The sequence below is a fragment of the Homo sapiens genome, chromosome 17 (genome assembly GCF_000001405.40).
Source record: "Homo sapiens chromosome 17, GRCh38.p14 Primary Assembly".
Taxonomy (NCBI): domain Eukaryota; kingdom Metazoa; phylum Chordata; class Mammalia; order Primates; family Hominidae; genus Homo; species Homo sapiens.
Window position 1 is genome coordinate 15,313,814 of NC_000017.11, and position 24,717 is coordinate 15,338,530.

The 24,717-nt window shown below is 39.6% G+C and overlaps 1 protein-coding gene across 7 annotated transcripts in view; it reads right to left on the reverse strand.

Moving 5' to 3' along the window:
* Positions 1-24,717, reverse strand: part of TEKT3 (tektin 3) — a 39,860-nt gene that overhangs the window by 10,002 nt on the left and 5,141 nt on the right. For 4 of the 7 annotated variants that reach the window (XM_017024954.2, XM_011523989.2, NM_031898.3 and 1 more), the window contains 4 exons: positions 17,194-17,801; positions 14,179-14,262; positions 5,264-5,334; positions 274-417 (listed from right to left, as the gene is read on the reverse strand). In XM_017024954.2, coding sequence (XP_016880443.1) covers positions 274-417; positions 5,264-5,334; positions 14,179-14,262; positions 17,194-17,772 — 878 coding nt within the window. In that variant the 5' untranslated portion in view covers positions 17,773-17,801. Of the gene's footprint in view, positions 1-273; positions 418-5,263; positions 5,335-7,521; positions 9,699-14,178; positions 14,263-17,193; positions 17,802-24,717 lie in introns of those variants that run through there. The other 3 variants (XM_011523990.3, XM_017024955.2, XM_017024956.2) reach the window with 3 other exon arrangements.

Consider the following 24,717-nt stretch of genomic DNA (forward strand, 5'->3'; position numbering starts at 1 on the left):
TGTTTTTCTAGGACTTCTGCATCAGGTAGGGTTATTTTCATAGTTAGAAAATATAAGTAACAAATATTACTTTACAAAAGAATTCAGGATGCAATTATCAAGGTCTGACCACAGAACGTGCTTGCTTACTGGAGACTTGTCCAAAGCTGGGTGTGTTTCTCACCTTCAGATATCTTACCTTGCTTTCCATTTTAACCTGTAAGCTGTGTCCTTTCGAAAGGAGAAAGAGTTAAATGACATCGAAATCACAGCCGTGGCGTGTGCCTGACTTACGTTGCATCGACCCTCTCCACTCCGCGGAAGTAGCCGACACCGTCTGATGTGTTGCGCAGGTGGTGGCATTTGTCGTCGATCCGGTAAGCCGTCTGTTTGTCACTCAGGTCCTTTTCCAGCTCATGCTGGGACGCTCTGTTGGCTCTGCAATACAGAGTCGGGAAGTGGAGCTTCACACTCAGGTGACAATGTCCTGCAAGGACACATGAGTGCCCTTCCATATTGGGACCTCTCTCACTGTTGCTCTCACCATCTCTCCCTCTTCACACAGCGTTCAATTTCTCAGTCAAAACGAGCACTCTCTGGATATGCCCATACCTCTACGTCACTGGGACCCTAACTCCCACCTTGTCTACACTTCTCCTTTCATAGGGTGGGATGGAAGTGGGTAGAGCAGGTGAAGATAAACAGGGGTCCAGGATCTGCAGCCCCAGCTGGGGCCCATCTCCCTAAAACACACAAACTCTTCCAGACAGGACACGGGTTCAAAGTAATCTGTCCACATCTGTGCCTTCCATTCCTTCCTTTTCCTTTTCCTTTTCCTCTTCTATATCTCAGCTCCCTTTTCCTCCATTATTTGAATATAAATCCCCAAGAAATCATGAGGCCTTTATAGCCGAGCCTCCTGCCATCCATTGGTAACCTTGGTTTGTGGTCATGCTGTGGCTAAGAAGTTTGCCAGGAGATAAAAACCAAGGATCAAAATTAACCTCCAGGGCAGGAGTGAGAGAGGGCTTCAGCAGAGATCGGGAACTAATGGTCCACCCAGGCTCACACACTCCAGCAGCCACCCTGCTGGAAGGAAGAGGCCTCAGTAAGCTCTGAGATGTATGGTCTTGCCTGCACTGCCAGGCAGACAGGGGACCCACAGCTTATTACCAAAGACAGACCCTGGGGGCAGGCATAGATGACAGGTGAGCCACATGGAATACTTCATTCGACAAATAATTATTGAGTGCCTCCTATGTGGCAGACACCATTCTGCAAGCCTGGGATGCGTCAGTGGACACCACCAACATCTCTTCTCTAAGGAGCCGACATGTTTCTGGGAGGAGACAGCACATTCAATGAATCGGCAATTTGTGTGGTTCGAAGAACAATGCTAAAAACAAAGCAGGAGAAAAGAGACCAGGACTGTGGTTATGATTTTAAAGAGGATGGCCAGAATAGGTTTCACCAGGTGACATTGAGCAAAGACATAAAAAAGGAGGAATCAGATCATGCAGGGCCCTAATGGACATGGGAATGAATCAGGTTTTCCTTCGAGTAAAATTGGAGGCCATTGACTTACAATTTAAAAGGATCATTCTGGTGCTGGGCTGAGAACAGACTGCCGGGGGCAGGAAGACCCATTAGGGGGCCACTGCAGTTACTCAGGTGAGAGATGAAGGCGGCTTGGACCAAGAGGATGAAAGTGAAGGAAGCAAGAAGAAGTATTCAGATTCTGGATATGGTTTGAAGATAGAACCAAGAGAATCTCCTATGAAATTGAACACCAGTGAGAAAAAAAAAAAAAAAAGAGCTTGAGTCGTTGGAATAATGGAATTCCATCAACTAAGATAGGGGGTTGGCTGGGGAGGGAGAAGCTAGGGGAGAAGATGGAAGTTCAGTTGACATAGTAAACTTGAGTGTTCACTGAACATCTACATGGGAGACATGAAGGAGGTTGTTGGAATTTGAAAGAGACATCTAGGCTAGAGATAAAAAGTAGGGAGACACTGACAGATAACCAGTATTTGAAAAAGTAGGATAGCTGAATGAGCTTGGGAATTTCTATATTCTCAGCACCTAAAAATGGTTTTGGTAGAGCAAAGCCGTTCACTCAGTAAAGGCTGTGTTGAATGGAATGAGTCAGTTCTAGCTGCAGGTTCCCTTCAACTTAGCCTGTGCTTTCAAGCAAATCACTTGACCTCTCAAAGCTGTTTTTCTTCTTTGTAAAGTGTAAATGAGAGTAGCGACATGCAAATGATCTGCACTTTGTGAATTCTAAGACAGTATACATGTGCGAAGGATGAAAAAGGAAAAAGCTCCCTTCCCTTGCTACTTCTGTGCTGAGGCTCTTGCCTTAGGTGATTATGCTGAAATTCTAGGACTAGAAGGCCTTTCTCCTTTGGTCTGGGACCAAGATGTCCCACAAGCTTCCTGTCTTAAGCTGAGACCCTGTTAGAGAAGGGGCTGAAATGTTCATGAAGCATCTATTGTTACAGTTCACCTCTTGGGAGGTGGGGCTTGGGGAGGTGGAATAGAGACTTCACAGCCTTTTACTTCCCATCACCTCAAGTGAAAATCCCTTCTCGTGCACACTGTCAGGTCTTGGCTGGAACAGTGGTTGAAAACATATGCCTTGAGAGTGTGGAATGATGAACAGTGGGGCTCAAAGGAGGGGAGGGAGGAGGGTGGGATGTTGGAAGGTTGCTTAGTGGTTACAATGTGCGGTGCTCCAGTGATAGATACTCTGAAAGTCCTGATTTCACCACAGTGCAATATATCAATGAAGCAAAATTGCACTTGTACCCCATGAATATATACACATTTTTTACAAAATTAAAATGTTAACAAAAGCCATATGCTTCAGCATCAGACAGCCCTGGTTCAAATGTCTTTGCTGCTTGCTAAACCTGACCAGAGGAAAGTTATAAACTAATGGTAATAATACCCGTCTTTCCAGGCTGTCCGGAAGATAATTATGTGCCTAACAGATGCTAAGTGCTCAGTAAGTATTAGGTCTAGTAATATTGTAACATGGGTGATTTTTATGACTTTAGAACTGGGGCTGCCTGGACACCCTCTGATCTGGCCTCGGAGTCTGCTTGGACAGGCATTTAAGGCAGCATCCCATCACCACGTCTTACAGCCCAAGATGGGAAGACCTTGGCTGCCCTGTTAGTGCCTAATGAGATTCTATTTTCAGCTGAGATCCAAGCTGAGGGTTTCATTGCTCCTTCTGAAACAAGTGTAGTTGATAAACTCTCTTCCAGTCACCTGCCCTGGACAGATCACAGTGGCCGCCCCACAAATCCTGGAGAAGCCATCCCGGGAAGTGAGGTAGGCATTATGCCCACTGTGTATTAAAGGAAAGCCAATCTCCTTAAAGGATCAACAACAAAGATTCCAAACAGGTACAAACACACAGAACTTTCTGCAAAGGTCTGCAATACAGCCAGTATTGAGGCAATTTGTAACAGGGATTTACATGAGATGAGGCTGTTCCACGGTAGAACAATCTAGGCCAAGAACAGCCAAGAACACAAAAGATGGGCAGCAGATTCCAGACTACGAAATAAAATGCGAATTAGGAACTAGAACCAATGCTTTGAACCACACTAAACATGTTTCTAAAATTCCTGGGGAGCAGAAACCACGTACAGTCATCCTTAACTACTCTTTTGCTTCTCCTCACCAATTTCCAAATTAAAAAACCCTTCCAGTCACAGCTCGAGAGAATCTCAGCGTACAAACCTCTCCAACCTTCGTGGTGTTCAGATCCTGACGCACAGGATGGGCAAATTAAATGAGCAGCATGGACGCTTTTATAACACACATAATCACCTCTCTTATTGGGTGGCATATTCGACACTACTTCCTTCCGTGACCATAAGCAAATGGCACTGATCTTTCTACTTAATGTTGGCCAACAGTCTCGGCCAATACTTTTCCTATGCTGACAGCTGTGATCATTGCCTGAGACCTTCTTTATTATTATTCTTCCCCCTCCTAACTCCTCATCCCACCCCCAACCATAAATATTAAGTACCTACTATCACCAAGAAAAGAGAGCCCATCCCCTGGAAGAATGTGTATTCTAGTGAGGAATAGGATGGGTTAACAGTTACAATGCTGTGGGACGCAGGGAGCATTGCAAGGGTGTAATCATTGCAGAGGTCGGATCTCTTTTTTTTTTTTTCTTTTTTTTTTTTTTTTGAGACGGAGTCTCGCTCCGTCGCCCAGGCTAGAGTGCAGTGGCGCAATCTCAGCTCACTGCAAGCTCCACCTCCCAGGTTCACGCCATTCTCTTGCCTCAACCTCCCGAGTAGCTGGGACTACAGGCGCCTGCCACCATGCCCGGCTAATTTTTTGTATTTTTAGTAGAGACGGACTTTCATGGTGTTAGCCAGGATGGTCTCGATCTCCTGACATCGTGATCTGCCCGCCCCGGCCTCCCAAAGTGCTGGGATTACAGGTGTGAGCCACCACGCCCGGCCGCCGCAGAGGCCAGATCTTTAAGGAGGTATGGAAGATAAACATTCAAGTAAACGACCACTCATTACTTTTTCAAATGTTAGAGCTGAACAAGTATAAGTCAATCTCTTATGTAAAAAAAATGCCAGTCTTTTGAGTTAAAAGAAATCTTAGTTACACTCAAGTGAGGGCAGAAATCCTTCCCACAGCATCTCAGAATTATTTATTTAAATAAAAATTTACAGCAAGTACTCCATGTACTTATTTTTTAAAAATATATTTTTCTTGAGACAGAGTCTGTCTCTGTTGCCCAGGCTGGAGTGCAGTAGCACAATCAGAGCTCATCACTGCAGCCTCATACTCTTGGGCTTAAGCAATCCTCACACCTCAACCTCCTAAGTAGCTAGGACCACAGGCACCCGCCACCATGCCTGGCTAATTTGTATCTTTTATCTGTAGAGCAGAGGTCTCATTACATTGCCCAGGCTGGCCTTGAACTCCTGGGCTCAAGCGATTTTCCTGCCTTAATTTCCCAAAATGTCTATTTGTATTATTTTAAAAAATGTTTATGGGTACATAATGGGTATATACATTTATGGGGTACATGTGATATTTTGATACAGGCATACAACGTGTAAGAATCACATCAGAGTAGCTGGGGTATCAAGTAATCATCTTAACATTTGAATAAAAATATGTGTATATGCCTGTGTGTGTGTCCTTATAAGAAATTAAGAGAAATTTCAATGAGGAGCATGAAAGTATAGTTCAATGATAGATTTTGAATTGTATAGAGACATAAAGCTCTTACGCAAGTTGGGCAATAGCCTTATCCAAATGTAGCTTCATTCTTTCTTGACAACACAGAATAGTATCAACTTCCTACTCAATTGGAAAAAAAACATATTAATGTTTTCATTATTGAATATAACACTCAAAATCAACAATGTAACAAACATCAATGAAGGAAAATTTTGTTTCTTAAAATACTGTGAAGTTAAACAAGAAAACAATTTTGCTTCCACTTATTTATCTACATGCTCCATGATACTGGAATCTAAATATCAGACTAAGATGCAGCCTTCATAGGTCGGTCCATGGGGAAATTATATTATGGAACAAGTGGGGACATGGTTAAAATTTTAGGATTTTTCTCTCTTTTTATCCCTGTCCTTAATTAAAACAGTAAAAAAAAAAAATTCTGGTAATATACAAGGTCAAATTTAAATGCACGGCTTCTTCTATAACAGCTGTTCTTCCAAGACAAAGTAAGTCAGGGAGGAAAAAAGCACAACCAAAAGAAGCTTCTCTCTGGCAGTACATGTATCCTCCAGAAGACAGTGCTTGGGTCCAAACATGGAGGCTGACTTCCACCCTGGGAGGTCGCCCTCCGGTCCTGCTTGTGTACTGCAGCCCAGCTCCTGTCCTTGTACAAACACCTGTGCTAGCCAGGCCTCTCTACTGGACCACACACGTTGCCTTTTGATGCTGCTAGGATGTATCCACTAGCCCATAACATGTCAGAGACTATTAAATCAACATTTATTTCCCCCTTGAAATTTCTATGCACGTTAGAAAATGTAGCACATTATGTATGCACATTAGAAAAGTGCACATTGTTACTGTTATCATTTTCTCAGCCAAAAAGTTGTCATACTATGCATACTGCTTTGGGACATTTTAAACTTGAACATTTTCTCATGACATTAAAAAGTACTGTGATGAATGACCTTGATCAATATTTAGACACCACCGAAGAGTATGCCTTTTTCCAAGGTTTTGACAAGTACAGCCAAATTGCCTTTCAGAAAAGTGGTACTCATTTACAACAACAAATGAACACGTGTTTTCTTGTCTTGCCCAGCAAGTGGCCACTGTTACTCCTTTCCATCTTCACCAGTGTGATGGAACCACACCCCCACCACCCCACCAAAAGCAGCAAACCTGCCTAAATTTGCAAGCTGATATTATGAGTATTCATTTGTTCACCATTTGCCTTTTTTGCTTGTGTCAACTACCTGTTCACATGCTTGTCCACTTTTTCTGTCATTTATTTTTTCTTTTTCATTTGTGAGGGTTATAAACATGTTTAAAATTCAGTCTTTTGTGTTATATATGTCACAATTTTTTTAATCAATTTGCCTTTGGTTTTATAAATGTGCGTGGTGCTTTTGATATAGATGTTTCTGATTTCTATGATATCAAATCTATCAAATATATCTCCTTTTGGTTTCTGCCTTTGTTACTTAGACAATAAAGGCCTTCACCACTCCAATATGAAGTATTACTCACCTATGTATTGTTCTTCTTTTATTGTTTAATCGTTTAGTATAAAAATATCAAATATGTCTAGAGTGATCACCCTACTGTCTGGTTGTTTGGTATCTGAATTAATGGAATAAAGGAAGAGCTAAATTCCCTTCACACATTGACACCAACATTCTCCCTGCCTTGACAAGCAGGCAAGATTTCCCAGCCTCACAGTAGGTTGTGCATCAGTCTTAGTATTTTTGTGTTCAGTTTTTATCTTTCTCAGTGCCTCATGAGTATGTGTACCTGTGTGTACTTTGATGAAATTTTAACAAAAGATGCATGGAGTCCTGCTTAGAAAGGACCATTTAAAACCCCAAATTGTGTTTTTATCCCTTGTGTACACAAAGCACAGAGTGGAAATTCTTAGGACTTTTAGTGAGGGAAAAAAAATGCATTTAATGAGACTCTTGCTGTAAAAAATTCCTACAACAATAATTTTTTTTTTTTTTGAGATGGAGTCTTGCTCTATCTCCCAGGCCGGAGTGCAGTGGCGCGATCTCGGCTCACTGCAAGCTCCACCCCCCGGGTTCACGCCATTCTCCTGCCTCAGCTTCCTGAGTAGCTGGGACTACAGGCGCCCACCACCATGCCTGGCTAATTTTTTGTATTTTTAGTAGAGATGGGGTTTCACCATGTTATCCAGGATGGTCTTGATCTCCTGACCTTGTGATCCACCCGCCTCGGCTTCCCAAAGTGCTGAGATTACAGGCGTGAGCCACCATGCCCGGCCAACAATAATTTTTATATGTGAATTTAAATAATGTCATATGATGAATGCCAGATGGTTGGAGGCAGAAGGGTTCACAAGAATACAAAAAGCCCAAAGCCAAAGGCCTCTGGCACTGTCCCCAGTGCTAACTTATCCTTCCATCTGTACCCATACATGGAGGTGGCCTTGAAATACCACAATACAGCAAAAGAAGGACAAAGCATTCCCTCACCTGCCCAAGAGAAGAAAGTTGCAAAAAGGTGGGGGATACACACAGAAAGCAGAAGCGTAGGAAGAGCCTTCATCTAACTAGATCTCTGGCTGCTGCCTCACACCTAAGGAAGTGAACCGTACATTTAGGAGCCTGGAAAATGGGTCCAACATTTCCAGATCCCTGACTTAGGGAGAAATTACAGGCCCCATGAGTTACAGGGTCACACTGACTTCATTGAGCTTCTCAGATTGCAGTGACTAAAGTGATTAAAATGCAGTTTCATCTGTGGGGCTTTGGATGAAAACAAAACATGGAATCATGTCCAGTTGCTTGAAGAACCTTGAATGCATCCTACTATTTGAGCGGCTGAAATGTTCATGAAGCATCTGTCGTTACAGTTCACCTCTTGGGAGGTGGGGCTTGGGGAGGTGGAATAGAGACTTCACAGCCTTTTACTTCCCATCACCTCAAGTGAAAATCCCTTCTTGTGCACACTCCCAGGTCTTGGCTGGAACAGTGGCTGAAAACATATGCCTTGAGAGTGTGGAATGATGAATAGTGGGACTCAAAGGAGGGGAGGGAGGAGGGTGGGATGTTGGGAGGTTGCTTGGTGGTTAAATGTGCGTTGCTCCAGTGATAGATGCTCTGAAGGTCCTGATTTCACCACAGTGCAATGTATCAATGAAGTGAAATCGCACTTGTACCCCATGAATATATACACATTTTTTACAAAATTAAAATGTTAACAAAAGCCACAAGCTTCGGCGTCAGACAGCCCTGGTTCACATGTCTTTGCTACTTGCTAAACCTGACCAGAGGCAAGTAATAAACTAATGGTAATAATACCCATCTTTCCAGGCTATTGGGTAGATAATTATGTGCCTAGTAGATGCTGAGTGTTCAGTTAAGTATTAGGTCTCGTAATATTGTAACATGGGTGATTTTCATGACTTTAGAACTGAATCCTCATGTAAGATGTGGGCTCTGCTATACTGTCAGCTGAGGAATATGCACCACATCACAGAAACATTGAGTTGCAGCCACAAATGTGGATGAGTGCTGACCCCGCGCTGTGGCCTGAGTTGTGGATATAAAATCATTACTTGGATGTCCTTGTTAAACCCAGACCCTGCTCCCACAGGTTGAGGCTTTATATGTGGTTCTATTTACCTGTGTTAACTGAGTCTTTTTACATCTTGGGAAAGTGGGTAAACCTCCTGTCTAACAGGTGAATGGGCTACTGAAATCAAATCTTCAAAGTCAAGCTGCAAGCCTGAATTGAATCTAGCTAATAAGCAAATACCACCTATAGGTGCAGATATTTCATTTCCACATACAATGCTTTTTAATGATAGATTCACCAAATATTCTTGTCTTCTCACTTATCCTTGAGTATAGTGAGCAGAGGCATTTCCTTTCATTAGAGATCTGCATTCTCAGTATTTATTCCTGAGTTCAGCCAAGATGACCCATCAGCTACCCTTTCTGGCATGGCTGCTTGTGAGAAGCTTCTGGTCCCACAACCTGCTTAGAGGCAGAAACCTAGGTGAGGAGTATAGTTCTTATTGCTGGGGGTGAGAGCCCACCCAGATCCTCTTTCCGTGCTGGTTGCAGGATTTCTATTCAATCCTGTCCTTAGAGGAGAACCGCCTTGGACTGGACTGGGCTGAAATGCTGAAACGTCTCTCCAGCAGCAGGTCTGACATCTCTGGAACTCATTGGTTGCATTCTCAACAAACGTCTGAGGCTGGAGTATTTTTGCTTTCTGCTTCTGCAGCATGGAGGAAGGAAAAGCCTCTTGTGGGAAGGAAACTGGCCAGCTGGGGCCAGGCCCAGAGCCCCAGCCTGAGTTCTGAGCAGCTGTCTCAGTCCCCATCCCAGAGCCAGACCAGGGCAGGCTGCAGGGTAGATGACTTTGCAGGTTCATTTGGCTCCAAAGTCCAAGGAGTCAGTACGGTCTGGGAGTGCTAAGAAGATAGTACCATGATTGCCTCCCCAACAGAAGCCATCCTGTAAGAATTTATCAATTATCACCGACTGAACGTAATAGTCAACAGAATTCAGCAGAATTCATAAGAAAATATTTCGTTGCATCCATGTTTTTCAAAGGTAGGTCTTTTAAGGCTACTTCTTTCCTTTGCTAATACACATTTAATTATTCTAAAAATTAAGACCTACTTTGGTAAAAAATAAAACATATGCCAATATCAATACCTTGAGTAAGCCACAGAATGCATTCACTACTTGAATTAACTGGCAATGACCGAAGCTCCTCCCTCAATTCATGAACCATTACTCTAATTGCACATTCAGTTTTTTGAGATAAAGCCACCACTGTCAGGTTTTTGAGATAAAGGACCCCCCTGCTACTGACCTAGAAACTAGAAACCTCTAATGCAGTGGTTCTTGTTTTTAAGAAACAGCTTTGTTGAGATATAATTCATAGACCATATAATTCACTTGTTTAAAGTGTGCAGTTTGATGGTTTTTAGTACATTCGCCGAGTTGTATAATCATCACCGGAACCAAATTTAAAACATTTCCATTACCTTCCAAAGAAATCATGTGCCCATTAGCTGTCACCCACAATTTCCAATCCCCCAAGCCTCCTTTCATAATAAGCAACCACAAACCTACTTATAGTCTCTATAGATTTCCCTATTCTGGAAATTTCATATAAATGGAATTACCATATGTGGTCCTTTGTGATGGCTTCTTTCATGTAGCATAATGTTTTCAATATTCATCCATGTTATAGCAACAGATAAGCACATCATTCCTTTTTTTTGGCAGAATAACCTGTTGTATGACTATCTTACATTTTACTTTTCCATTCATCAGCTGATAGACATTTGAGTTGTTTCTACTTTTTGGCTGCTATGAATAATGTTGTTATAAATATCCATGCACAAATTTTTGTTTGGGCATATGTTTTCTTTTCTCCTGGAATGATGCTTGGGAGTAGAACTACTGGATCCTATGGATCATACAGGGTCATTCATGCTTAAGCATTTTCCAAAGGATTTGCCTCATTTTACACTCCCATCAGCAATGTATTAGGGTTCTAATTCCTCCACATTCCAGCCAACTTGTTATTTTCTATATTTTTTATTAGAACTATCCTCATGGGTATGAAGTCATATTTCATTGTGAGATCCTTTGCCCATTTTTAATTGGGTTGATTTTTTTTAATTGTGACAGTTATTTATATATTCTACATACAACTCTTTTCACTTTGTTGCTAGTGTTCTTCAAAATACATTTTTAATTTTGATGATGTCCAGTTTATCTGCTTTTCCTTGTGTTGTTTGTGCTTTTGATATCACATCTAAAAAACTGTTGCCTATTCCAATGTCACGAATATTCATGCCTATGTTCTTTTCTAAAAGTCTTACAGTTTTAGCTCTTATGTATAGGTCTTTGATCCCTTTTGACTTAACTATTTTGTATGTTTGATTTGGAATCCAACTTCATTCTTTCGCATGTGGATATCCAATTGTCCAAATACCATTTGTTGAAGACACTCTTCCCATTGCATTGCCTTGGCATCATTGTCAAAGATCAATAGATGGTAAATGTGATGGTTTATTTCTCAACTCTCAAATTGTGTCCATTGTTAGGCAGGTACTACACTGTCTTACATATTGCAGCTTTATAGTAAGTGTTGAAATCAGGAGGTGTGAGTCCTCCAACTTTCTTCTTTTTCCATATTATTTTGGCTATTCACTATCCTTTGAATTTCTATATGAATTTTAGGATCAGCTCACCAATTTTTACAAAGAAGTCAGCTGGGATTTTGATAGGAATTGTGTTGAGTCTATGAATCTAGTTGAGAAATATTGCCATCTTAACACGAACATCCATGTTTATGGATGTTCCCATCCATAGACATGATATGCCCATTTATTTAGGTCATCTTTAATTTCTTTCAGCAATATTTTGAATTTCTGAGGCACTTGTTCTTTACTCTGCCTAGTCATTAAGATTACCTGGGGGATATTTTAAAAAGATCAATGCCTAGTCCCCACTGCAGATTTGAATCAGCATCTCTGGGTGTGGGACCCAGCCATTGATATTTTTAAAATCTTTGCCAGGTGATTCTAACATGTAGTCAGGTTTGAGAGCCACTACTCAAGTAATGGAAACACTAAATGTAGCCAAGTACCAAAAAAAATCTGTTGGAAATATCATAGTGTGTTTGTGGGCAAGGTGATGAAGTTAAGCTGTTAGAACTGCCTTGTAATTTATTTCATACAGAACATCTCAGGATTAGTGAGAACAAAAGACCACAGGAGAGATGATGGTAAATTCCTATCCAGTTAGGATGACAAAGTAGGTGACAGATTATTTTAAGGCTTGTGAGATTCATCAAAGCCTGGGAAAGAAGAAACAGAAGAGTGGAGACCCATCACTGCAAAACTATTTCATTCAGAATGTTCTATTTCTAACCACTCCTGTCCGGCAATAGGGACAGTGACTTTTACAGTAGATTACAAAACCTTTCTGTAGTAGCCAAAGCTTTCCTGAGTATATTATTTCAACTCAGAGTTCTCTCAGAGAACCAGACAGTAGAGGAAAGGAAAGAGCAAAGAAAAAAGTCTGCTTGTCATCTTTAATGTCATGGGTCACTAAGAAAATGTAAGTGATGTTAAAGCAGGGTGTTGATGCCGTGTGGGGATAAAACTACTCTGAGGACTCGGCTGCTACCTTGTCATACTTACTTTCCTACCAAGGACTCAATTCTCACCAAGGACCAATTAAAAAGAGGCGAAGAGGTGTGACCCTGCAAAGCTTGTGCAGGGACAGAGAAGATGGATTCACTGCAGCAGAAATTCTGTGAAATTAGACAGGGAAATGAAGCTGAGAAATGAGGAGGGAGTCAGACAAGAGAGGCCTTAGTGGATTTTTCTCCTGCAGAAATTAGGGAGTCAAGGAAGAGTTCATAGCAGAGGGAAGAAACTCATGAGAATGTATAGGATAGATCCAAGGGAAACTTGGGGAAGGAAAGGTGCTTTGGAATTTCTTATCAACCAGGTATTTTTTTAAAGAGCTGGAAATGGATTAAAGGAGTTTGGGAGACAACGGGCAGCAAGCCATGGTGATGAAGGAACACTGGTACCATCAATAGAAAGGGACAGGCAATAGGCTAAGCAGGCTTTATGAATGTGAACCAGAAGAAAAAAAGTTACCAAGCTAAAAAATGTTTGGCAAGTACTTAGGAATGAAGAACTAATGCTTTATAAAGTGCCTGGGCTGAAAAAAGAGATTGGGAAGGGCTCCAGGTACATGATACTTGAAATCTTAAGAAATGATAGAGATCTGTGGTAGCAAGTCTAAGAAGTGAAGATCAGAGAAATTAGAACTAAACCAGATTTAATTGGTGGAAGGTGGAAGAGAGATTAGCGGGAGATCAGCAGAGTAGTGCAGATGCAACTGTAAGTTTCTGGATGGCAATTTGGCTACATATCAAAAGCTTTCAAATGCATAGAACCTTTGGCACAACAATTACACTTCCCAAAATATATTCTAAAGAAATAATCAGGAGTAACTACAGTTATCAGTAATAATATTTTTGTATACTGCAGTGCTATTAAAATAGGAAAACAAAGGAGTGGGATAGGGAAGCAACCTAACTATATAAGAGATGATTGATTGAAAAAAAAAAAAAAGATAGCACCTTTACATTGTAGAACACTGCCTAACCATTAAAAATCATGTCTTAAAAGAATATCCAGGCTGGGTGCAGTGGCTCAAGTCTGTAATCCCAGCACTTTGGGAGGCTGAGGCAGGCAGATCATGAGGTTGGGAGTTCAAGACCAGCCTGGCCAACATGGCGAAATCCCATCTCTACTAAAAATACATAAATTAGCCAGGCATGGTGGCAGGTGCCTGTAATCCCAGCTACTTGGGAGGCTGAGGCAGGAGAATTGCTTGAACCTAGGAGGCAGAGGTTGCAGTGAGCCGAGATTGTGCCATTGCACTCCAGCCTGGGCGATAAGAGCAAGACTCTGTCTCAAAAAAAAAAAAAAGTATCTAATGATATGGTAAAAATTACCCCAATATAATTTTAAATGAGTATACCCTATTCAAATTTATAAATACAATGATCTGAATCTTGGAGACATATCTGAGCATCATTGTGTGAGTTAGGTGGTGCCTATCTAAGAATGATTAATAAAAAGATGCAACGGAATGGTAGAAAAAAAAGCATGATTAATAAAAAGACTGAAATACTCCAAAATTAATAGTGATTTCTGTCTAATAAAGCTTCAAGTGATTTTCATCTTTATTTACTCGTTTGCATTTTCATATTCTCATTGAATATATGTTATAACCAAGAAAAACATGTCTTTGCTAAATGCTATCAGCATCTGATACGATAATGCTTTACTTATAAGTCATTTTATGTAACATCCTTTTTTGCTTCTACATATTCAACATACATTTACAACTAAGCTGCCTGTGACTGATGCATTTCCCCCACATTTACCGTCAGCAGTTGTGCTTCAACTTCATCGTGAACTAGGTCGATTCCCATTCTCTTTTCTCGATGAAATAGACATTCTCGGGCTACCTACAGATACACAGATAATGGAAAGCACTAATAAAAACTGACAATCCATGACTAGCAGCTCTAATAATTTGTTTCAAAAATAAGTCAATAGATACTCCCAATACCAACTTTTCCAGCCCTTTTGTGAAAATCTAGCCTGAAACAGACTGTAACAACTAAATGAATCTCTGCTGCTAGTTAAAAGGTAAAGAGGTAGCTCTTCAAAATAGTTTGAAAATATTCCTATCTTGGAAAGTTGACAAAATGAAGTAGATGGCATTTACTTGATCCCCGCAAATTAGCATTTGAGGGCATTAGTTGGCATTACTTTCTTCAGGTGAGATAGTTCAGTAACATGAGACACAAGTCTTCAAGATATTATTTCTAAATATTTTCTACTGAGAATAGGAAGAAATGAATGATTATCTTTAAAAACATCAAAATTTTTGTGTTGCCAAAAGTCCCAGTGATTATTTTTAAAGTGTCATTGATTGTTTTCCCAATTATCAAAATAATATGCCTTTACTCACTAAAGAGAAAAAATATAGAAAAGTAGAAAATATGATTTAGCCATACTCCTATTACTACTTTGTTCGTCTTAACAAGATAGAGGTTATAATGTTCTCACAACTTTATATTATGCTTTTTAGTATTGACATTAAACAGTAGACCCAAATCATGAAATATTCTTTGAGATAAAGTATGTTAGTGGCTCTAATGGAAAACAGCTTAAATTTCTAACAATAAATTATGTATGAAAGAACATTATGTAGCAGTTAAAATGCTTTTCTCGAAGACTATTCCATAACATAGGACTCCCAAATAATATTAAATTTTTAAAAGCATAAAATATAATGGTATGTATACTATAATCCAGATATACTATCACTGAACAAAAACTTTAAGTGAATCTCTAATTGTTTAATAGTATCACTTACCAGAAGAAGAATTAACGGGTAGAGGGGAACTCTGATTATTTTGATATGTATTACCAAACTGCTTCCCAGGAAATTTCTACCAATCCATAGCCCCACCAGTAATATATGAAAGTGCCCATTTGCTGCTCTTACGCCAGCTCTAAATGTCATGCATTTTCATTATTGCAAATTTGATAGGCCAAAGGTAGTTATTTCATTGATTTAATTTGTATTTTATCATTAAGCTTTAACATTTTTTCTTATATTTGTTGATCGCCTATATTTTCTCTTTGGAGGCTTATCTGTTCATGTGACTCAATTTAAAAAGGACCCTCTAATACTGTGTTGACAATAAATTTTCAAACACACAAGAACATCTGGACAAAAACTGCAGAAAAAATTCAAATTAGAACCATCTTTCTGAAAGTAGTCATCACTGAAAGGGTTACTAAGAGAAGAAACTGAATCTCCACTGGAAATTAAGAAAGTAGCTATCATTTTAAGGATATTTTCAATTCTTAAAGGCAGTCAAGGGTAGGAAGAACTGTAGAATAAACCAATACTTCAGAGTAATCTGATGCTCAGGGAAGGCGTAGAAGCCCTTCTGATTCTAAACAAAAATTTATGATGAATTAATTCAAAAAGATCATTAGTGAACTATCAGCCATTCTCAGGATTCCTGGGGATTGTGTGCCTCTGTATGTGTTTTTGTACAGCGGGGAGGGGTTGCAGTAGGAAGTGACAGTGCGCAGGGTGCCCCAAGAAACTCCTCCGCTCACCAGACTTTCAGCTCCTTGATTCTCTAAACTCTTCTACTACAGATGCTGTGGTAGAGAACTACAGCAAGTGCTCATCACATGGGAATAAGTCATGCAAACATGAGGAAAAATGGTGCTAGCTGTGCTCATCAAAATGTATACTTCTAAAATAATTTGTATAATTTGCACATCTTCAAACATGGAATGTCTTCTTTCAATGGAGGAGGGTGGAATGGGGTTGGAGGGCCCATCGCATAGCCTGAGGGTTAGAGGTGACCTGAGCCCATTCAGAAGCCTGGTCAGAGGCCAGTAACCAACTGAAATGCTCCCTACATTACTATGGCAACTGGCCAATCTCAGCACCATTTTTCTATTTAATCAAGCAAATTCCATGCCCTAAGATGGTCTCATTTGATGATGTCACTACATCCTAAAAGGGAATCATAACATATATACAGGAGGCGTTTCATGATACAGACTAAAAAAATAAAGGTTTTGGTCTCAAATATTGTTTATTTTAATTTAGTGACAGCAATGATGAAGCAGCCTATTTAAGAGATAAGATGGTCATATGGTTTGGATCTGTGTCCCTGCACAAATCTCAAGTCAAATTGTAATCCACAATGTTGGGGGTGGGGCCTGGTGGGAGGTGATTGGATCGTGGGGGTAGATCCTTCATGAATGGTTTAGCACCGTCCCTTCGGCGCTGTTCTCAGGATAGTGAATGAGTTCTCTGGAGATCTGGTTGTTTAAAAGTGTGTGGCACCCTCCCCCGTTCTCTCTTGCCCCTGGACCCTTCATTTAAGATACCTGCTCCTCCTTTGCCTTCTGCCATGATTGGAAGCTTCCTAAGGGCTCCCCAGAAGCAGAAGCCATTATGCTTCCTGTACAGCCTGTAGAACCAGGCGCCAATTAAACCTCTTTTCTTTATAAATTACTGAGTCTCAGGTATTTCTTTATAGCAATGTGAGAATGGCGGAATACAGATGGCGTGTTCACCTTAAAACATTGTGTGTCCTAATGGTGTCTATTTAATTGGTCTTCTTTGCTTTGCATTCAGAATTACCTCTTAAAGTGGTTGTTCTTAAAGTATATAATGCATTTAAAAAAAAAATAGGCAGTGGTTTTGCCATTGCTGAAAACAGTCACAGATTTATTGATAGGGGGTTGGCTTCAACAGATGAAGTAAAACATAAGTCAATAAATAAATAACCACAGTAACTCAACCAGTGGGTTATAATCATAAAAATTCAGTGTGTTCTATCATAAGGTCTTACCTGAAGAGGGGCTTCAGTCTCCATCAAAGCCCGCTCCAGTCTTTTCTTCACATCAGTAAGTGCATTTGTCTCTCCAATCATTTCATCCAACTCATGAATGATTTCAGATTTCCAAAACCCTATGTCATTGACACGTTCTCCCAGATTTTGGGTTGTGTCTGCCTGAGTTTTTCTTGTTTGTTGATATTTGTCTTGAATCAGGCGAGATGTATCCACTCTTAGTTTCTCCGAATTATGTCGGGAAGTGTTGGACTCTTGATAGTTGGTTAAATTGGACCTGTACCAGTCATCCGGTGTGTATCTTGTGAAGAAAGTGGTTCTGTTGGAAACAAAGGGAAGCATGGTATTCTCGGACACCCTCTGTGATCTGGTGCAGTACGGGGCCACGCTTGGGGAATTGGAGGCGACTTTGTAGTATGTGCTGGGTCTCCAAGGAAGGCTCAGGCTATGGGTCAAATTGGAGTGGGGAAAGCGGTCCCTGTAGCTTGAGGCCATGGTACTGATGGCTGGTAGAAAGTTGGTTGGTGTTGGTCTAGGGTGGGCGTAAGTTGTCGTTAAAGTACAACCTACACGTTCCATGATGCCAAAACACTATTTGTAAATCTCTCCTGTTAAAAAATAAAAAGTAAAATAAGACAGTCACATAAAATAATCTCTGGTGAAACATACAGATAAAAGGCCACATCTGACTTAGTATCAGTTGCAGAGGCCCCGAACACATTAGATGCTTGTTCTCATTTGTTATCCACATTCACCATTGATAATATATTCCAACAAAGTTTTTTTTTAATCTCTATGTCTCTAGAATGTATAAAGATCACATTTTTATTGGCCATTTGGACTTTTGAATTTTTGTGAAAATTATGAGAGTAATATTGTCTTGTTGTAACAAATTCAAATTAGGAGCCTAAACTATGCATCTTAACGGATAGGGATTCAAAATAGATTTCTCACTTGAAGTCAGGAGTTCGAGACCAGCCTAGCCAACAAGACGAAATGTCGTCTCTGTTAAAAATACAAAAATTAGCCAGCTGTTGTGGCAGGCACCTGTAATCCCATCTACTCAGGAGGCTGAGGCAGGAGAATCGCTTGAACCTGGTGGCGGGGGTGGGGGGCAGATAGATTGCAATGAGCTGAGATCGCACCACTGCACTCCAGCCTGGGCTACAGAGAGACTCCGTCTAAAAAATAAATAAATAAATAAATAGATTTCCGTCTCAAACCATGATAGACTAATAAAAACTAGACTTAGCCTCTTATATCTAAAAATCTAGACAAGAAACTACTGATTTCAGACATTGGACAATGGACAGCACAGGACTCTGAGCCATGAGAAAAGAGAAACAAGGTGAGCCCACCTATTTATTAGCTATGTGACACTGGGTAAATTACTTAACCTCTCTGTGCCTCGGTTGCTTCACTTAGAAATAATAGGGAATAATAATAGCACTTCCTTCTTTGGACTGTTGTGAGCAGTGGTAGCAGCAGGGAATTGCTTGGCAACTCCCCGCCCCTGCCCCCACAAGTCATCCTAAATAAACACTCCATCTGGATGACAATGGTGTGGTTGATATGCAAACGCAGCTCGAGGCAAGTACCTGGATCTCCTTTCCTGGCAACCTACAACCTGTAAGCACCTCGAATGTATAACAGAAATCCTAGGGAAGCCATGGGGTTATGAGGGCTAAGACAATGCTATGTATTTAGAAGGATTAGCAGAGTGTCGGACACATAGAAAGTGTGCAATAGATCTTAACTTTTTAAATTGCTACCTCAGAGAAGTAGATAAAGTAAAAGAAAAATATCCTTCCTCCCCGCAAAGGTGAACTCCTCAGAAGTAGCCACTAAATAGTTCATTAATAGTTGTATCTTTCCAGATTTTTCCTATTCATATACCAACATGTGTATTATTTATATTTTATATACCTCTACCTATATACCATCTATACCTATATACAAAGCTTTTTAATACAAAAACTGAATTATCCTAATCATTTGATATATCATTGTAGATCTTTTTTTTTTTTTTAACTTAAGTATATTTTCTGGGCCACTCCCCCTGTTAGAACATACAGATCTACTTCATTCTTTTTACCAGTTCCATTGTCTGAAACTTTTGGTCGTTATTATTCCAGAAAGCCAAGGATGCCACAGACCACTACGTATCTTTTAGCATTTAAATGTCATTCTGTTTTGGGGTTAATGTCTATGGACTTTTTTACTAAAAAGCAAAACTACAATCAGATCCAATTCTATGCACTGCTCAGAAAAATAAAAATTCTTTAGTGACTACTTAAATAGCTATGTCTTGAGGACTTTGGTACCCAAGTACAAAATAATCTATCTGTAGAATTGCGTTCAAGTCAAAATCCACACAGATCACATGATAAAATAGCTGCCCGTGGCCCTGTGCTTATAGAACCCTAGTTCTCTTTCTGCTAAATTCTTCCTTCCTACGGCCCCCAAACGTGTTATACTGGCCAAACTTACAGACTGATGGTAAAAACAAAAGCCTTAGTTACCATTTGCAGTTCTTTGCTTCAATTTGAAACTTAAACATTACTTTTTGAAAAAGGAAATTTAAAGTACTGAGGCATTAGGGTCCTTAAAGTTGTCTTTAGTTCCAACCCCTTCCCTATGTCAGATCAATAAATAATCTGGTTTATTTCTAGCAAGAAACTTCAAGTGGTGATGGACCACTCCTACTTGGCTTTGGTTTATTTTATTTTATTTTATTTTATTTTATTTTATTTTATTTTATTTTTATTTTTTAGACAGAGTCTCGCTCTGTCGCCCAGGCTCCAGTGCAGTGGCATGATCTCGGCTCACTGCAAGCTCTGCCTCCCAGGTTCACACCATTCTCCTGCCTCCTCAGCCTCCCGAGTAGCTGGGACTACAGGTGCCCGCCACCATGCCCGGCTAATTTTTTTGTATTTTTAGTAGAGTCGGGGTTTCACCATGCTAGCCAGGATGGTCTGGATCTCCTGACCTTGTGATCCACCCACCTCGGCCTCTCAAAGTGCTGGGATTACAGGTGTGAGCCACCACGCCCAGCTGGTTTATTTTATTTTCAGAGACAGAATCTTGCTCTGTTGCCCAGGCTGGAATGCAGTGGCATGATCACTGCTCACTGCAGCCTTGAACTCCTAGGCTCAAGCAATCCTCCCAAGTAGCTGGAGCTACAAACACACACCACCATGCCTGGCTACTTTTATTTATTTATTTTAGTAGAGATGAGCAGGTTTCACTATGTTGCCCAGGCTGGTCTCAAACTCCTGGCCACAAGTGATCCCCCACCTCAACTTCCCAAAGTGCTGGGATTACAGGCATGAGCCATCATGCCCAGCCTGCTTAATTCTTGACAATAAGAGATCCAGAAACCAATAGCTCACTTCATCCTTCAACCATGGAATTTCACGTGTAGAATGCCACGTGAGTTTTCCCAGCATTTGTTATATAGGCATCTTGAGACGTCTCAACCCATGTTTGAAATGTGAGTCATCTGCTCCAGGGGTGATATCTGAAGATGCAGAGGTTTACACACCAGATGAGATATGTGGACTGAGAAAAACAAATATAGTTTACAAAAGCACCTGGTGATGTGTTTTTTAATTAGAGGTGAGATTTGTCTTAGAATCTGGAATCTAAAGCATAAAGCATAGTGGTTTACAGATCACAGAAGTAGAACTCCTCATGTACGGCAGTCAGTTTCATATGGAGAGAATATTTTACAGCCACACCTGAAGTTCTAGCTCCACCAGCCATCTTGTAAGCCATTCAGGAAGACTGAATAAAAGACATCACGTGGGGATGGTTTCACCAAAATATTCCACTGTCATGCATTTTGGGCCATTAATGGTCAAGAAAACCAAGACTGTCATGAACTAAGAAATACTTAAAAACTGAAAACTGATTTCTACCTCCAACCATGACAGAATAATAAAAACCAGACTTAGCCTCTTATATCTAAAAATCTAGACAAAATATATGAAACAACTGCATTCAGACCTCAGACAACAGGCATCATAGGCTCTGATCCTTGAGAGAAGGGAAACAAATAAGGTGAGCCCTCTGATTGTCAAGGTATTGTGCCTAAAGGCAATTTTCAGACAATGAGAAAAAACATGAAAACTGAACAGAGCCTGGCAGCTTTTGTGAGTTGAGAAAGTGATCAGAATTCAGGGAGGCTGAGAAAGCTAGAAATTGTAGAGCAGGTTTCTGGAATAAAGTGAGCTATGCCGAAATAGAGATCCAGAAATCTACAAAGGGATCTTTGTGAGTCTTTGCTGAGAATAGGCTGCATATGCATCAAGGAACACTCCACAAACCTTGGCAAAGAGTGATGGCAGAGCTGTTAGCTGAACAATTTCTAGAACTTACAGAGGGTGGAGATACATTATGAACACAGACTAACTAGATTGGAGGGTCATTGACAATCACCTGGAGCATTCAAGGGAGACACTAGAGAGGCCACACGTTAGAGGTAGGGCTGAACTATACCTGGAGTGAAGGTAATGAAGACTCACTCTAGCAAAGCTTGAAAACAGGTCTCAAAGATATCAAGCTAATCCACAAGTAACTTAACTACCTGACATCAAGACACTCCAATATGTAACATCACAATGTCCAGCATCCAGTCAAAAATGACCAGACATAATAAGGAGCTCAAAAATGTAACCCCTAAAGAAAAATCAGTCAATGGAAGGAGGCCTAGAAATGGCAGAGATGATGGAACTAGTAAACTACATACAAGTATTTGATACAAGGACATTGAGAAGACAGAAATGGAAGACTGGAGAAGAACCAAATAAACTTCAGGAATAAAACATACAATATATACTTGCACAACTTCACTACATGAGATTAACAGCACATTAGAAATTAGTGAGCTCAGACTTTTTTTTTAACTAAAAAAGAAAATTAAAAGCACCTTGGTAACCTATGGTGCAATAGCAAAGGTTCTAATATTAAGGTTTTGCAGTGCCATAAAAAAAAGTAGAGAGACAAAAATATTTGAGGAAATAATGGCTGAATATTTCCCAAATTTGCTGAAAACTATAAATACCTAGGTCAAGAAGCTCCACAAACTCCAAGAATACACACACACACACACACACACATACGTGCACACACACAACCCCCTGCTGCCACCACCACTCCAAGGCTCATAATCAAAATGCTGAAAACCAGGGATAGAGAGAAAATTTGAAAATCAGACAGGAAGGACATATTTGGAAAAAAAGAACGAAGATAAGAATTAGTGCTGAATTATTGTCAGAAACTACCCAAACCAGAAGACAAACAACATTTTAAAAGGGCTGGAAGAAAGTGTAAGCCTCAAATTCTATATCTAGTGAAAATATCCTTCAAAAAATGAAGGTGAAATAAAATCTTTTCATAAAAACGAAATCCAAAAGAATTCATCAGCAGCAGACCTGCAATAAGAGAATTGTTAAAGGAAATTCTTCAGGCAAAAGGAAATTATACCAGATGGAAACTTGGATCCACACAAAGAAATAAAAATGTCAGAAATGGTAAGCATGTGTGCTAATAAGAAAAAAAAAAATCTTTCTAACTTTCAAATTTCTTTAAAAGATCATTATTTAAACTAAAAATAAAAAATTGTGGCATTAATAAAATAGAAGTAAATTATATGGTAGCCATAGCACAAATGATAGGAGGGCTTAGATGGCCATATTAGATTATAAGGGTCTTATAACTGAAGTGAAATAATGTCATTTAAACATATACTGTGATAAGTTAAAAATATGTATTGCAAACTTTAGAATAGCCAGTTCTCAAAATGTAAACTAAGGACCCATGGGTATGCCTAAGACCTCTTTGGAGGTGAAATGGTCAAAATTGTTTTCATAGTAAATACTCAGATGCTATTTGCCTTTCTCACAAATTTACAATGGAGCTTTTCAGAGGTGACATGATACATACTATCACAACAGGCTGAATGAGGATGAGAGCCCAGCTACTAAGCTAAAAATTACTTTGCCAAAAATATAAAACAATACTAAATACTTCTTACTAAATTATTTTTTGTTTCAGAAAAAAAATAATAAAAATAAATGTTTTAATAAAAACATTATGTTAATGTATAATGGATTATTATGGTTATTTTAAAATAATTTATAGTTTTTAATTTCTAGTATAATAAATACAATAGATATAATCCACATAAGTAAAAGCTCTTTGAGGTCCTCAATATTTTTAAGAATGTAAAGGTGTCCTGAGATAAAAATGTTTTTGAACCACTGAGCTGGAGCAATATCTAAGACTAAAAAACAAGAGTTTTGACCAATAATGAAGGAAAAAAATGGAAGACAAAAAAGACTCATAATTATTCCAAGAGAAAAGAGAACCAAAAATAAGACAAAGAAAAAACAGGAAAATGATACAAATCCAACTATGCTGATAATTAAACAATCCAATTAAAAGGCACAGATTATTAGAAATCGTTTTTAAATAGCAATATTGAACTATAAGCTGTCCAGGAAAAATCTCACTTTAAATATAAAACACAAATAAGTTAAAAATAAAAATATGGGCTGGGCACGGTGGCTCACGCCTGTAATCCCAGCACTTTGGGAGGCTGAGGCTGGTGGATCACGAGGTCAGAAGTTCAAGACCAGCCTGGCCAAGATGGTGAAACCCCAACTCCACTAAAAATACAAAAATTAGCCGGGCATGGTGGAAGTTGCCTGTAATCCCAGCTACTCAGGAGGCTGAGGCAGAGAATTGCTTGAACCTGGGAGGCGGAGGTTGCAGTGAGCCGAGATCATGCCACTGCACTCCAGCCTGGGCGACAGAGTGAGACTCCATCTCAAGAGAAAAGAAAAAAGAAATAAATAAAAGTATGAGAAAAGATAGACTGTTTAAACACTAATCAAAAGAATACAGAAGTGGCTATATTAATATCAAATCAAGTAGACTTCTAAACAAGAAATATTATCGGAGATAAAGAGAAAAATAAGGATAAAGGGATCAGTCAAGGAGATATAGCAATATTAAATGTTTATGTAATCATTTACCTAACTTTCAACACCTAAAGCAAAAATTGACAGAACTAAAATGAGAAATAGACAAATCCACATTATATTTCAATATTTCAACGTTTGTCTGTTAGTAAATCATAGAGCAAGTAAACAAAATATTGGTTAATACAATATTTAGCAATATTACTAACAACTTTATGGCAAGAAATTTGACAACATAGATGAAATGGACAAAATTTTTGAAAGATACAAATAACCAAAACTGATTAAAGAAGAGTTAGAAAACCTGAGTAGCCTTGTAGTATTTTTTAAAAATTGAATCTACAGTTTAAAAACTTTCCTCAAAGAAAACTTCAAGCTCCAATGGGTTCACTGGTGAATTCTACCAAACTTTTAAGGAAGAAATACCTCAGTTTTTAAAAGCCTATGGCTTACTTTGGTGGTGCGCATCTTTCACAATGATTAACTTACTCTCTAAATTCTAACTCAGTCAATTCTTTTTTTTTTTTTTGAGATGGAG